The sequence below is a fragment of the Homo sapiens genome, chromosome 1, assembly GCF_000001405.40.
Source record: "Homo sapiens chromosome 1, GRCh38.p14 Primary Assembly".
Classification (NCBI taxonomy): domain Eukaryota; kingdom Metazoa; phylum Chordata; class Mammalia; order Primates; family Hominidae; genus Homo; species Homo sapiens.
The window spans coordinates 21,267,403-21,282,607 of record NC_000001.11 but is presented as its reverse complement, the minus strand read 5'-3'; the positions used below and the strand labels follow the sequence as shown (position 1 = coordinate 21,282,607).

General features: G+C 51.0%; 1 protein-coding gene across 8 annotated transcripts in view, besides 4 other annotated features; it reads left to right on the top strand.

The window, feature by feature from the left end:
- The window catches only part of ECE1 (endothelin converting enzyme 1), a 128,255-nt gene that overhangs the window by 62,897 nt on the left and 50,153 nt on the right, over positions 1–15,205 (top strand). For 7 of the 8 annotated variants that reach the window (NM_001113348.2, XM_011540873.3, XM_011540872.3 and 4 more), the window contains 2 exons: positions 3,276–3,417; positions 9,697–9,909. In NM_001113348.2, the coding sequence (NP_001106819.1) occupies positions 3,276–3,417; positions 9,697–9,909 (355 nt within the window). Of the gene's footprint in view, positions 1–2,992; positions 3,418–9,696; positions 9,910–15,205 lie in introns of those variants that run through there. The other variant, NM_001113347.2, reaches the window with a different exon arrangement.
- Positions 3,922–4,898: an enhancer, noted in NCBI's record as "OCT4-NANOG-H3K4me1 hESC enhancer chr1:21604203-21605179 (GRCh37/hg19 assembly coordinates)". NCBI's record gives its function as "activates a minimal SCP1, AML or CMV promoter by ChIP-STARR-seq in naive and primed H9 embryonic stem cells {active_cell/tissue: H9 hESC(naive and primed)}" and the evidence as "EXISTENCE:reporter gene assay evidence [ECO:0000049][PMID:30033119]".
- Positions 4,899–5,877: an enhancer, noted in NCBI's record as "H3K4me1 hESC enhancer chr1:21603224-21604202 (GRCh37/hg19 assembly coordinates)". NCBI's record gives its function as "activates a minimal SCP1, AML or CMV promoter by ChIP-STARR-seq in naive H9 embryonic stem cells {active_cell/tissue: H9 hESC(naive)}" and the evidence as "EXISTENCE:reporter gene assay evidence [ECO:0000049][PMID:30033119]".
- Positions 8,023–8,522: an enhancer, noted in NCBI's record as "H3K4me1 hESC enhancer chr1:21600579-21601078 (GRCh37/hg19 assembly coordinates)". NCBI's record gives its function as "activates a minimal SCP1, AML or CMV promoter by ChIP-STARR-seq in naive H9 embryonic stem cells {active_cell/tissue: H9 hESC(naive)}" and the evidence as "EXISTENCE:reporter gene assay evidence [ECO:0000049][PMID:30033119]".
- Positions 12,078–12,372: an enhancer, noted in NCBI's record as "tiled region #15718; K562 Activating DNase unmatched - State 25:Art, and HepG2 Activating DNase unmatched - State 5:Enh". NCBI's record gives its function as "activates a minimal TATA promoter and a strong SV40 promoter by Sharpr-MPRA in K562 cells, with weaker activity in HepG2 cells {active_cell/tissue: K562 | HepG2}" and the evidence as "EXISTENCE:reporter gene assay evidence [ECO:0000049][PMID:27701403]".

Genomic DNA, 15,205 nt, shown 5'->3' with positions numbered 1-15,205 from the left:
TTCTTTTTTTTTTTTTTTTCAAGACAGCGTCTCACTCTGTCACCCAGGCTGGAGTGCAGTGGCGTGATCTCTGCTCATTGCAGCCTCCAGCTCCCAGTTTCAAGTGATTCTCTCACCTCAGCCTCCCCAGTAGCTGGGATTACAGGCATGAGCCACCATGCCTGGCTAATTTTTATATTTTTAGTAGAGACAGGGTTTCACCATGTTGGCCAGGCTGGTCTCAAACTCCCAACCTCAGGTGATCCGCCCACCTCACCCTCCCAAGGTGCTGGGATTACAGTCATGAGCCACTGCGCCTGGCCTCTTTTTTACTTTTTTGAGATAGGGTCTTGCTCTGTTGCCCAGGCTGGAGTGCAGGGGCACAATCATGGCTTACTGCAGCCTCGACCTTCCGGGCTCAAGCAATCCTCCCACCTCAGCCTCCCAAGTAGCTGGGACTACAGGTGCATGCCACCATGCCTAGCTAATTTAATTTAATTTTTTTTAAGAGATGGGGTCTGACTGTGTTGCCCAGGCTGGTCTTGAACTCCTGGGCTCAAGCCATCCTCCTGCCTCAGCCTCCCAAAGTGTTGAGATTATAGGCATGAGCCACCATGCCTGGCTGATGGGTACCTCTTAAACCAAGGTCTCATCCAGGTGCAGTCCAGCACTTTGGGAGGCTGAGGCGGGTGGATCACGATGTTAGGAGTTCGAGATCAGCCTGACCAACATGGTGAAACCCTGTCTCTACTAAAAATACAAAAATTAGCCGGGCGTGGTAGCACATGCCTGTAATCTCAGCTACTCAGGAGACTGAGGCAGGAGAATCGCTTGAACCCGGGAGGCAGAGGTTGCAGTGAGCCGAGATCGTGCCATTGCACTCCAGCCTGGGTAACAGAGGGAGACTCCATCTCAAACAAAACAAAACAAAACAAAACAAAACACTGTCTCACGGCCTCCTTGTGCCCTGTGAGCTGAGCCATGATAATGGGGACATGAGAAGCCTAAAGGAGGAAGGATGAAACAAATTAGGGGCAGCAGGACACATACGTCAGTGTCCCTAGGCAAGGCAGTCCCTGCTTCAAGTCCTTGGGACCCCTCTGAGTACCAGAGACCAAGGTAAAGTGTGTGAGATAACTGATTACTCTGAAAAAGCACTTTATAAACATTTGAGTACAGTGTACATGTTAGCATCATACCAGGCTGTCTCTCTCTGCACCAGGCCCTCACAGCCTGAAGTTTTAATTCATGGTCTGAAACTTTCATTGCTCACTTTTTCAGAAGAGATTCTTGAGGGATTTGAGCGGGCGGCATCCCTCCCACTGCCTGACCCAGCTGCTTCAGTGTCTGAGCCTCCTGGGCCTCCACGGAAGTGTCTCTAAGCCCCAAGATCCTTTGCTCAGTTTTGTTTTGTTTTGTTTTGTTTTGTTTTGTTTTCCGAGACGGAGTCTTGCTCTGTCGCCCAGGCTGGAGTGCAGTGGCGCAATCTCAGCTCACTGCAACCTCCGCCTCCCGGGTTCAAGCGATTCTCCTGCCTCAGCCTCCCGAGTAGCTGGGATTACAGGCGCCTGTCACCACTCCTGGCTAATTTTTGTGTTTTTTAGTAGAGATGGGGTTTCTCTATGTTGGCCAGGCTGGTCTTGAACTCCTGACCTCAGGTGATCCTCCCACTTCAGCCTTTTAAACTGTTGGGACTACAGGCATGAGCCGCCGTGCCCGGCCCCTTTTCTCAGTTTTGGAACCCAGTTTTTTTTTTTCCACAGAAAGTGCTTGTGTTCCTCCATCTCTGGTGCAGCAATTCCCAGTCATTTCCTGCCCAGTAAATACCTAACCATGGCCACGTGGCTTCTCAGTACCCTTCCCTCAACTGACCCACTTCAGATCCCCGAGTGCCAGGGTGGGACTCCCTCAGGGCTCTGACCCGGCACCAGGGGCACCCCTCAGGCTGTTGGTGGGGCCGTTGCAGGTCAGAGTCTGAGTCTCCTCATCTTCCCTGACAGCTTCCCCTCTTCCTGGCAAGCCTTGCTCCCTCCACCCTGCCCTTCCCAAAGGGTAAATCTAATCATGTCACTCCAGTCCTCAAGAGGAAGTCCAGGCTCTTAACCTGGCTTTCTGTGCCCCTTAGGATCTAGGCCCTCCTCTCCTCTCCACTTCCATTCCTTCTTATCTGGCCAGCTCCTACTTATTCTGACTGACCCAGGCCAGACATCACCCGTTCCAGGAAGCCCTCCCTGATTGAACCCCTGCCCACCCCAGTCTGTTTCTTTATCTGCCTCCCTGCTGGGCTGTGTATTTCCAGCATGGCCCTGAGTTGGTGCTCAGCTGTTAGCACATGACACGGTGTCACTGAACACGTTACCCCACCTTCAGGAGACCCTTCCTGTCTTGTGGGTGTGGGTTTTGCAGGAAGCATCTCTTGGAACAGAGGAGAACCCCAAGCTGCCTTGGGTGTGAGAGGCCTGGGCTGTCGGCCCCCATTGCTGCTGGCTGGTGTGTCCCTCCTCGGGCAGGGAGGGCCCTGCCACACCCTGCACTTCCTCTCATTGTGCCTCCCTTCCTGTTTAGCTAGACTGTTAGGCTGGAGGGATTTTTCCTCCCTTTCAGGACCTGAATGGAGCTATTTCTCCTTGCATCTCTGCCAACATCTCCCAGGATCCACCTCTGATCCACTGGTGGGCTCGGGCATCAACAGCTTTGGGTTCCAATCCCAGCTGTCCCCATTCAGCTGGGTGGTGAGAAGCCAGGGTCTCACCTCTCTGGACCTCAGTTTCCTCACTTGTAAAAAGAAAAATAACAAGGTGGCTCGCGTGTTTTTGCGTGGGATTATGAGGGTTTAATGAGCTAAGGATGTCTGTGCTTCTGGGAAGTGTGAGCCATGGCTGTGTCACCCTTGTCCCTGACCCCGCTGATGTGGGGGCTCTGCAGAGAGCCCAGCTGGGTACTCACTGGATGCCTGCAAGTCCAAACATCCTGTTCTTTTTTGAACTCCTCACTGGAGAAACAGGGAAAAGCTGTAGTTTTTTCCTTCCACTCATATCGAGTGACACAAAAAAACAAGCCTGTCGGGGCCGAGCTGCTTGACTCTCTGATGTTTGGGAGCAGATCCGAGCAGCTGAGCAGGGTGGCTGTTCCTTTCCTGGATTAGGGCTGAATCTGTGGGAACCAGACCACCCCTGAGACAGGAGGCAGCCCTGATGCCTCTCCAGGGCCTGGGCCTGCAGCGGAACCCCTTCCTCCAAGGGAAGCGGGGCCCGGGGCTCACGTCTTCCCCGCCCCTCCTGCCTCCTTCCCTGCAGGTGAACTTCCACAGCCCCCGGAGTGGCCAGAGGTGCTGGGCTGCACGGACCCAGGTGGAGAAGCGGCTGGTGGTGTTGGTGGTACTTCTGGCGGCAGGACTGGTGGCCTGCTTGGCAGCACTGGGCATCCAGTACCAGACAAGTAGGTGCCTTCGTGTTGCATGGTGGGCTTGACTCACTCCTGCACCCGGCTCCGTCAGCTCGGGCGAGGGGGGCTTCCCTGCTTAAGCCGGGGCAGGGCTCTGAGGCTAAGGAGGGAGCCAGGCCCAGGGGGGTCTGGGTGCTGAGATAGACCAAGACCCGGGAAGTGGGCAGCGTGGGTGATATAAAGGTCTCGCACTTGAGTCCACATCCTGTCCCAGCAACTTACTGGCTGTGTGACCTCGGACAAGTCACTTATTCCCTCAGCCTGTGTCTTCTCTAATTTAAATGGGAAAACAGTACCCAACTGGGGGATGGGTCTGCGGACTAGAGATAACATATGTCCCATAGCTGGTGCCTCGTAGGACTTCTTCAACTTTAGCTCTGGGTACTGTTGTTGCTAGAATGTGGGGTAATTACACACATAGGCTGACATTGTCTGCTATCTCTAGTTCCAATAAAATAACAATAATGCCCTCTGTTTACTGAATTATTTCCTCGGACCAAATACCCAAATACCACACCCCTCGCTTCAGATGCAATCTCATTTCCTCCTGGAGGCAGCCCTGTGAAGTGTGGTTACTTTTGGCCCCTTTTCCATATTAGGAAACTGAGGCACTGAGATAGAGTGACTTGCTAATCCAATGCGGAAGTTGGAATTCACCCACAGGCTACTGGGCTCAAGCCCAGGCTCCACCTCCCTTTGTAATCCAAGTACGCTCCAGAGCGCATTACACCCCCAGGAGAGCTGCCCTTCCAGATCCAGCTGCCCATCGTGTTCCTTGATCGGTGCCTTTGTCCCACTTTGAATGGTGATACAATTGGGCCACTCTGATCCTGCTGTAGGGGTCTGAGACTGGTTCTCTGTTTCCAACTAAGTGGATCTAGCCAGCTGCCTCACACAGAGTTGATGCTCAGTAAACACTTAAGAAGTGCGAAGGGGTGGATCCAAGTTAGAAATAAGAATGGGGAATTAGCCAAAGCCAGGGCCTCTCAGTCCCCTGTGCCCCAACATCTATTCTTCTGATGGCAGATGGTTCACCTAGTTGAGCAGCCTCTGGGGGCTCTGCTCAGCATCCCACCCACTGACTCGGTCGCTCACCCCATGAGAGAGATTAGGAGCTTTCACAGGATCTTGGAACATCCACTACAGGCTGTGTGGAGCCTTCCCTCTGTGAAGTTGCTGGTCTGTGAGGGTGGCCACGCTGCGCTGGGGTGGGGAGGGGACTCAGGGGCCTAGAAAAGAGCAGGGCCTTCATCTGAGCATTCTTCCATCCCTCCTGGGTAAGGCACACAGGTATTCATTCATTCCACAAAGATAGGTTGTACTTAAGAAATAATTGCTTGATTAGTTAACTATAATGGTTTGTAGGTGTTTTACCAAATGTGCCTGGCTCAGCAGGTGCTTAATGCATATTTGACTAATTAATGACTAGTTTTCAGGCCCTTAACCAGATGTGCTTAGCATAGTGCCTGTGCCATAGGTGTGCAGATAGTAAAATGAATAAATTAATGTTTGAATGAACGAAGGGGTAGGAAGGAAGATCAGGCTGGGAACAGCCTTTCTCTGCTGAGTGTATGTATATTGTGTGATCGTGTCCTGGTGTGTGTGTGTGTGTGTTTGTGCCTCCTCTGCTAACAGGACACAAGCTCGTCATCCTCTCCTGCCACTGCCATGTCGCCTCAGCCTAAATCAGCTCTAGTTCTGAACCCCCTCCTGGTCAGTGTGGACCCTGGCCAGCACGTCTGCACAGCTCTTGGCTCAGAGCAGCGGGAGCTGGCCAGACTCCGGCAGCCAGTGTTACCCTGAGACTGCCCCTCGGAGCTCCAAAGATATGTCTTCACCAGAAACCAGGGGGGAGTCCCCACGGGCCAGCTCCTGATGATCAGACCCAAAACATTTCTGTTGTTATTGCCCAGTGGGGCCCCTTGGGAGGAATCCTGCTTCTGCCTCTGTTGTGTCCCTCTCTGGGTCTCAGAAGGGTTTTCTCCAGCCTGGACCTGGGAGAGGAACATTCTTCCCCTGGAGTGGAGCTGGGCAGAGTATCAGGTGACCCCTGAGCCACCTGGGAAAGCAGTGACCACCCCAGATATTAACAGTAACCTCATTACCCAGGAGCAGGTGCTGGTGCTGGCCACATCTGAGCAAACATCAGGCCAGTCAAAGCAAATCTGGCCGGGCGCAGTAGCTTACGCCTGTAATCCCAGCACTTTGGGAGGCCGAGATGGACAGATCACCTGAGGTCAAGATGTTCGAGACCAGCCTGACCAACATGGTGAAACCCCGTCTCTACTAAAAATACAAAAATTAGCCAGGGATGGTGGCGCACAACTGTAGTCCCAGCTACTCAGGTGGCTGTGATGGTGCACACCGGCTACTCGAGAGGTTGAGGCAGGAGAATCACTTGAACCTGGGAGGCAGAGGTTGCAGTGAGCCAAGATGGCACCACTGCACTCCAGCCTGGGCGACAGAGCGAGACTCCGTCTCAAAAAAAAAAAAAAAAAAAGAAAGCAAATCTGATGATTCTGAAGGCCAGCCTCTGGGAATGTCTGGACACATAGTACGTGTTTACTTACCTTCCTGCTATGCTTCCTTTCCAGAAACATGCTGGTGCTTTGCAAACAGAGGCAGCAAAACAAACAATACATTCTCCAAGAACATATTTTAAAGAAAGCATTCTACACAGTTTTGAGGCCAGGCTGTCCAGATGAGTGTCTGTAAATTAAATCTAGGATCTGTTTCTGCTTTCTCAATTGATCACGCATGTCCCAACGGAAAGAAATGTTTGCTGCCTCTGCAGGTGGTGAACAAGTGCTGAATAAGGCCTTTCATTCATTCGGTTGTTCATTCAAAAACACGTATTGAGGCCGGGCGCAGTGGCTCACGCCTATAATCCTAGCCCTTTGGGAGGCCGAGGCGGGTGGATCACCTGAGGTCAAGAGTTCAAGACCAGCCTGGCCAACATGGTGAAACCTCGTGTCTACTAAAAATACAAAAATTAGCCAGGCGTGGTGTTGGATGCCTGTAATCCTAGCTACTCAGGAGGCTGAGGCAGGAGAATTGCTTGAATCCAGGAGGCAGAGGTTGCAGCGAGTCGAGATTATGCCACTGCACTGGGTGACAGAGCAAAAACTCTGTCTCAAAAAAAAAAAAAAAAAAAAAAAGCACGTATTAAACAGCTGCTAGTTGCCAAACACAGTACTAGACAATGGAAATATAAAAACGCATAGGATATTGGCCTGCCCTGAAGTTCACATTCTAGTAGGAGAAATGAACAAGGAGATGGTCGTGACATAGCACAGTAGCAGAGCAGGCACCCAGGCCGCTGAGGGGCCCAGAGAGGGAAGGGGGTCGATGAAGGTTTCCGTAGGAAGAGGGGGCCTTAGATGAGGGGGCCTGGAAACCATGAGGTCATCAAAATGCATGAAGCACTTCCTGGGCCAGGAATATTTCATGAAGTTTCTGCAAACCATTAAATAGTTAAATAATCAAGCCATTGCTCCTTAAGCACCTCGTAGGTCCCTAGCCCAATGTCCAGCAAAGTAGGCACTTAGTGAAGAACTCAAATTTCTGAGACTGCTTTATTTATTTATTTGAGACAGAGTCTCACTCTTGTCGCCCAGGCTGGAATGCAGTGGCGCGATCTTGGCTCACTGCAATCTCCGCCTCCCGGGTTCAAAAGATTCTCCTGCCTCAGCCTCCCAAGTAGCTGGGATTACAGGTGCCCCCCATCATACCTGGCTAATTTTTGTATTTTTAGTAGAGACAGAGTTTCACCATGTTGGCCAGGCTGGTCTCGAACTCCTGACCTCAGGTGATCCGCCCACCTCGGCCTCCCAGAGTGCTGGGATTACAGGCATGAGCCACCGAGCCCGGCCTCTGAGACTGACTTCTGGGACTAGTTTCTTGTTTTGTTTTTAAACCCAAGTCCCTGTGTGATAACAGCAAAAACCTTTATCAGTTAATTAATCAGTCTGTCTCTCTCTCACACACAGACACATACACACAGATTCTGATGCGTCTTCCCGCGTTAGGCTCACTCTCAGCCTGTCTCCTGGGCATCTCCACCAGCCAAGATGTTGTAAAATTTTCCTTCCTGTGGTTCGATGTGTGAAAACAATAGGTATTCTTTTCCTTCTCTAAGTATGGAGTTATATCGTAATACTCAACAGGCTCTTTCAACCTACATGGAAATTCTTTCCCTGCCCCATAAAGATTCTGGTGCCTTCCCCGAGTTTGGGAGTGGAGCATGCAACTGTGATTAAGATGATTTGATTTAGAGATATTTAAAATGGCACCATCACCCCCACCATTTCCTTTCTCTGTTTTCATGTGTAATGGCTCCATAATTTTTTTATGGCACACCTCTCGGCTGTGAACAATAATTTTTAATTGTTGTGTGATTATCTCAAAGTCAGATCACCCTGATTTTCCTGCTGTTGTGCAGCTGCTCTGAGCCCTTTGTCAGCCACCCATCTGAAGGACTATGTGTTTGTCATCAAATGTTACTAATTCCACAAATGAACCTCTGCCCACTGGCCTTATGTTCCTGAGTGAGGGGAACACTGCCCATACTAGCTCGTGCGTTCTTTGCTGCTCTCTAAAGACTGGCCTGAAACTTCAGACCCTGAGACTTGAGGAAGCTGAGCCCCCGTGCCCAGCCATGGCCATCATCACTGTGAAATCTGTGAAATTGGTCCTACCTTTCTTCCTAACTTTTAGATGGATAAACTGAGGCATGGAGCGATGAGGTCACTTGCCCAAAGCCCCACTGGCAAACGTAGAAAGCTGGATTTGAACCCAGGTCTAGTGGCCTCCAAAGCCCACCCTGCCTCACTGCCTCCCTGTGTGGTGGGGAAACGGATCTCAGCAGTCAGGCTGCACCAGCCCCTCGTGTGACTGGCAGAGAGGTGGGGAAGGAAAGCAGAAAAACACAGCCTTGGCATGGCTGGACCAAGACAGGCCTGGGCCCAGCTCTCAGCTCTCCGCCCTCCCACATAGCTGGGCGACCTTGTTCCGTTCACTCCCTCAGTTTCCTCTTTAACTAGGGACATGATGCCTGCATCTGATGACTTGTAATGAGTTAAATGAGATCCTGAATGTGTGCAAAGTGCCCAGTACACGGCCACGTTCAGTAAAGTCCCTTTGGTCATCAGCACAGCCTGGGTAAACGGACGATGGGGCTGGGCCTGTGATTCTCGATCCTGCACAGTCAGCTTCATGTTGCTGCCTCAGGCCAGGCCTCTGCGTAGGCCACCCAGGCTTTGGGTCCTTTGGGAGAGCTCAGCCGCCAACCTTGAGGCAGGGCTCTGGCCCTTTCCTCTTGCCTCTGGCAAACCAGTCTCCTCGCTCTTATCCCCCAGGATTGAGTGCAATGGCTCGATCTTGGCTCACTGTAACCTCCATCTCCCGGGTTCAAACGATTCTTCTGCCTCTGCCTCCCAAGTAGCTGTGATTAAGTCGGCCTCCCAAAGTGCTGGGATTACAGGCGTGAGCCACGGCACCTGGCGTAGCCTTTGGGTTTTTGAGGATTCCCTGAGGTCACTCACTCTCCTGCTTGTACGTAGGAGTGATTTTTCCTATTTCCTCCTTCTATTTCTAATAGGCTTTCCTCCTTCCTATGTCCTGTCATCCATACTGTCTACATCACCCTTTTGGCACATAGTAAATGTTCAGTTTATTTTTGTAGAAAGGAGGACAGACATTTCTCCTACTGTTCCATTTTGATTTATGTGTATATCCCCAACTGAATTGTTAGCTCTTGGATTAAAGGACTCTGCCTTTTTATGCCCAATACCCCAGTACCCTACACACACACACACACACACACACACACACACACACGCACACACGCACGGGCACACACTTTCACGCAGGTGCACACATGCACACACACGCACTCCATACTCAGCAGAGAACCTGGAAGGTAGTCATTATCTTGCTGAATAAATGAATGCATGCGTGAATGAATAAATTTGTTGAGCATCAAGGAATAATAAAGAGTCAATGAATATTTATGGAGGAGAAGGTTGATTAAGAGAAACACCTGGGTTCTGGGTACCTTTTAGCCACAGGAAGGATTTTAGACAGCTGAGTAGAAGTCTTGTGTTATAAGCGGAAATCATTTCTCTGTAGGGGTCTAGTGACCGTCCAGTTCCAAATCTGTGTGGTCAGGGCCAGGGTGGGACATGTGGCCCCTGGGCCCCAAGCCCCCTTCTCTGCCCTCCCTGCTTCTTCCCTGCCTGCCCTTCACTGGCCTCTTGTCCTTAACCCTTCCAGGATCCCCCTCTGTGTGCCTGAGCGAAGCTTGTGTCTCAGTGACCAGCTCCATCTTGAGCTCCATGGACCCCACAGTGGACCCCTGCCATGACTTCTTCAGCTACGCCTGTGGGGGCTGGATCAAGGCCAACCCAGTCCCTGATGGCCACTCACGCTGGGGGACCTTCAGCAACCTCTGGGAACACAACCAAGCAATCATCAAGCACCTCCTCGGTAAGCATCCAGCATGGAGACCAATAAATGGGCCACAGCGGGGAGCTGTCAGCTGGCCCAGCCAGCTTCCCAGCTGCGCCTGCTTAAAGGAGGAGCTTGGCAGAATGGGCCGGGCACGGTGGCTCACACCTGTAATCCCAGCACTTTGAGAGGTCAAGGTGGGTGGATCACTTGAGGCCAGGAGTTCAAGACCAGCCTGGCCAACATGGCAAAACCCTGTCTCTACTAAAAATACAAAAATTAGCTAGGCATGGTGGCGTGCGCCTGTAGTCCCAACTACTCGGGAGGCTGAGGCAGGAGAATCGCTTGAAACTGGGAGGCAGAGGTTGCAGTGAGCCGAGATCGCGCCACTGCACTCCAGCCTGGGCAACAGAGTGAGACTCTTGTCTAAAAAACAAGAAAAGAGGAGCCTGGCAGAATGGAAGACCATAGACTTGGGAGTAGGTGAAGCTGGGTTAGAATGTCTGCCCTCACTCATTGTATGATCCTGAGTAAGTCACATATCTCTGAACCTCAGTTTCTTCATCTGTAAAATGAGACTAATAAGACCCAAGGTACAGAGTTTTGAGAACTAGAGAGCACATGTGTAAAGCATTAGCATGGTGTGTGTGGCATGTAGGGTGTACACAAGAACTGGTGGCTGTGGTCGTTACTTTTGTGGCTTCAAGCTTGGCGTAGCTTTTGACTAGTATTGACTGTGAGTTTTGAAAGTTATGAGCAAAAGGGATCGAGACTGAACACACTAGATCAGATTCTAAGGTTGTGATCCAATGAAAGTTCTAACAACAGCTTATCAGAGGATTAGTTATTCAGTGTAGGCGGGAATCATCCTTAGCCTCACGGTGATCGGGCTTGCACGATAAGCCCTCTGGTCAGAGTTCTCTTTGCACTTCACTAGGCCTTGGGCACCTCTAGTTCACCCCTGTGTTGATGGTTTTTCCTCAGATTAGAGCTCCACGTTGTCTTGTTTGCAGCTGTATCCTTAGTTAATGTTTGTTGGATTCCCGTCTGCCCACTGGGCTCCTCCCCCAGTGTGAAATCATGACACCTGTGCTGTACCATAAAGCTGCCCACCTTAACCCTCCCACAGCTGGGACCATGGCTGTCTCCCTCTGCTGCTGTCCCCTGCTCCATCCTGGGACCCTAAATGCTGGGAGAGGCTGCATTCTGAAAAGTCAGTCAATTTATCCATCAACAACAGAACCTAGATCCGACAAATACTGATTGTTTTAAAAAACTTTAAGATATTCAAAGGCAGGTACAATAGAAGATACCCAAAAGGGGACAGATCTTCTTAAAGGGACACGAATCTTAAGAGACAGGAAATGATTCTAAATGGACAATTAACAATTTAAGGCAACTGGGTCTTTTAGATTACAGGGAAAGTAGGCAAACCAGGTGAAGGAGACCTTTCCTTTCTTTCCTGCCCCAGCCCCACAGAGCAGAGCCGCCGCTAGGTAAAACACACCCACCCTTTCTCCTGGCCTCCGACAGCTCCTGAAGCAGCAGCAGCAGCTGCCTTCAGCCTAACTTCCTGAGGATGAGCAGGGTGGTGTGTATGGAGGTAGGGTTGAAGCTCAGTATGTCCGAAGCAGCAAAGCCCCAGTCTGAGATGTCCCCCTGCCTGCCTTATGCCACCAAAGTGCCTTTGAAAGGGCATGCAGCTTTTCATTTTAGAACCAGACACTTAAAAGGCAAATATGTCTATCATTGCAAGACTGGAACTCAAGGACGACCCTTCTCCAGTGCCTAACATCACAGCTGGGGGCTTGGCAGGGCCCATAGTCCAGGTAGTATAACAAGGTGGGTCGGTTCCTCTGCTTCAGACTCACCAGGACCTGGGTTCGAATCTGGACTCTGCCACTTACTATGAGGTCTTGGGTCAATTACATCACCTCCCTGGCTTGTTTTCTCATGAGTACAGTGGGAACCATGCCTCCTCTGAATTTTGAAAATTAAATGGGAAATACATTTAAATGTATTTAAACCATGCCTAGGCTTGGCATGTTGTGGTGGCTGCTGTTTGTATTGATGCTACTGTTATTCACCCTTGACCTTTGCACAGCATTTGACAGGTTACAGAGCTGTTTTGTAGACACCATCCCACTTGATCCTGCAGGGTGGAAGCTGGGAAGGTGTTGCTCACTCTGTTGGTAGATGAGGAAAGCGAGATCCGGAGAGGTCCTCATGATAGGCTAGTGAGTGGCAGAGCTGAGACTTGCTTGATGCCTGGTCTTGTGCCCTTTCCTCTGTCCCACACCACCTCCTTCAGGTACAAGGGACAGACATTAGCTCCCTTTCCGCAGTGCCTGCAAGAACCTGCAGGGGGCGCAGAGCCTGAGGGCCTGAAGGAAGGAGAGACACGGATGTCCGCCGTGCGCTGTGCACTGTACCATGCTCTTTAGAGCCACTGCTTCCTTAATCCTCACAACCCCAGACTTCGGAATTGTTGTTCCCATTTTATAGATGCAGCAACTGAGGCTCCCAGAGGTTAAGTGACTTTGTCAAGGATATACCACCAGTCCAAAATGGTGAGGGGCTCACTCTCTGGGGAGCAGTTAGCATTTAGAGGGGATGGGGCAGGACAGTGGACAGGCCCTCTAGCTTCCCAGTGAGGCCCAGAATGGGCTCTTGTGCATTGTGTGGGTTCTGGTCTGACTGGTTCTGGGGCTGGTTCTCACTGGGAGAACCTTAGGTCTGAGCCAAGATTGAGTCCATCCCCACTGTTCCTGACAATCAAGCCGTGGGTGGGGAGCTGCATCCAATGGGCCATGGAACAACCCAAAATCATGCATTCAACCCTGACCCCGAGGCCAAGGTCTGGTGATACCAGGAGGCCAGACCGCAGAGTTCTGAAGTCAAGCAGTCCTGGTGTGCTAGCTGCTTATCACTCGTGTGGCCTTGGACAAGTGACCTGGCTTCTCTCCCACTTAGTTTCATTATCTGTACAGTAGGGATAATGATGCCTCCTAACACATACAGTTACTGTGAGTATTGACTTGCCTGGGATGGTTCAAAGTGCTGAGCACTGGAATACATCGGAATACTAGCCTGGCACCTAGTAGGTGCTCGTCAAAGCACAGCTGCCCTCCTTGGTGGTGGTAGGTGAGTTCCAACCCAGACTTCTTACAAACAAGCTGTATGACTGCAGAGAGGTCACCCAGATTTTTAGGTCCTCGGCTCATCACCTATAAAGTGGGAACTAACTGAAACTCAGCTCATTAGTAGGGATGCTCTAAGGGTTAATTGGGTGGGCAAAGAACAAAGTCATTATTTCTTATTTATTAGAGAAGCGCTGGTATGTGGACCCAGTTGTCAGGAAGGAGGTGCAGAATACAGCTATGACACACTGAGCATCTCACTTGTATTATTTCATTGAATTCTCATAGTAAACTCATGGAGTAGGCTGCATTTGCACATTTTACAGATGAGACTCATGAATATGAAGGAAATGTATTTCCTAGGAAATGGTGAGGCTGGGATTAGACCCAGAGCTGTGGGACCTCAAAGCCTGTATTCTTTCTCTACTCACTCTACTGTCAGATTCAGCAGGGAGAGGCCCTGGGTCGGCACTGCTGGCAGGGAGAGCAGCCGAGAAGTGTGGTTCGCCTGCCTCCTTTCCCCAGCGGCTGCTCCACAGAGTTCTCAGCCCAGGCCAGCCAAGCCCCAGCCCAGGTCCAGTGAACACAGGAGCTGGGGTCACCCCCATGTCATACTGACTAGGGGCTTCCCCGGAAGACATATCCTGGGGTCCTCTCCCTCAAGGCTCAGTCCTCGGAACTAGTCTGGAAATGGCCCCTCACCTGTGGGCTTGATACCTGGGACTTTGATACATGGAAACTCCTGAAGAGGCAGATGGCAGGTGAGTGGGTGACAAAAAAATGCAGGAGTGTGGGCCAGTGCATTCTTGGGCTTAAGGCCAGGCTGGGTTCAGCGTCTCCAAGACAAAGGGGTCAGCCAACAGGCGTCGGAAGGGAGCCAGAGCTGATGGGCACGGGAACAAGCCGGAGGTGCCCAGGCCACTCTGACCTGCTGAGGCGAGGGCTTCCCTCTAGGCGGAGAGGGGAGAAGGGACATTTAGAGTGCCAGTGTGGATTGTGTCAGCCGATCCGGCAAGATAGTTATTACCATCTGCTTGTGTGACCTTGGGCAAGCCATGCATTTCTCTGCCAGGTGAATTCATGCTAGGCTCCTCAGAGGCAATCCAGGCAGTTCTGTAGCAGGTGGGCCGAACTAGGCCAGGTGCCACTGTGGCATGACCTGGCAGTCTGCCAGCTGGGGATGCTGACCTCAGCTGCAGGACACACAGATGCCTCGCACCTCACTCTGCCACTCCCCCAAGTGGCCAGCATGGGCTGTCCTTGTAGGTTTTGGGGAGATGAGAGTGGGTGGCCTCACTTCATCAGAGGAAGGAAGCAGCCAGGCCCTTCAGCCCTTAGACTTGGCCCTGCCTTGGACTTTCCAACTGTGCTTGTAGCTCAGATTATTCTACCAGCTAGAGAGCCTACACCACCCCCTCCAAAGCCTCCGAGACTTTTCTCAAACCTGCTGCCTCCATTGTCTTCTGTGGCTACCAAAGGGCCTCTCTAGGCTTGAGCTACAAGTACACTGTGTGCACCTGTCCTGTTTGCTTTACTGTATTTTATACTGTAAGATGAACGCATACAAAAAAATCAATGCGTGCTCATTGTGACAATTCAAGCAACACAGATTCCATAAAGAAAAAACTAGCAGTCTGCCTTCCAGTCTCCCTGGGAGATAGACATACAATATTCCAATAGCGTTAAACGTGTCCATGTCGGTGATGTGGCAATTAATCATGTCACCCTGTGACATCGCTCGTATTTTTATTTTGACATATTTTCCTAATACCTGCTGTCTAATTGAGTTTCATCTTCCTGCGCATATTGGAAGGAAGCCATCTATGGACAGCATCTGCATCATGAATGCTTTCTATCCAGTATGGTGTCTACAGGAGTGGGTGCTGCCTTCCTGTTTGGGGAATGGTTACGTGGATTGATTGATTCTTAGTCTGTTTGTGCTATTGTAACAAAATACCACAGACTGGATGATATGGTTTGGCTGTGTCCCCACCCAAATCTCATCCTGAATTGTAGCTCCCTCAATTCCCACATTTTGTGGCAAGGACCCAGTGGGAGGTCATTGAATCACGGGGGCGGCTCTTTCCCGTGCTGTTCTTGTGATAGTGAATAAGTCTCACAAGATCTTATGGTTTTAAAAATGGGAGTTCTCCTGCACAGCCTCTCTCTCTCTTTGCCTGTTGCCACCCATGTAA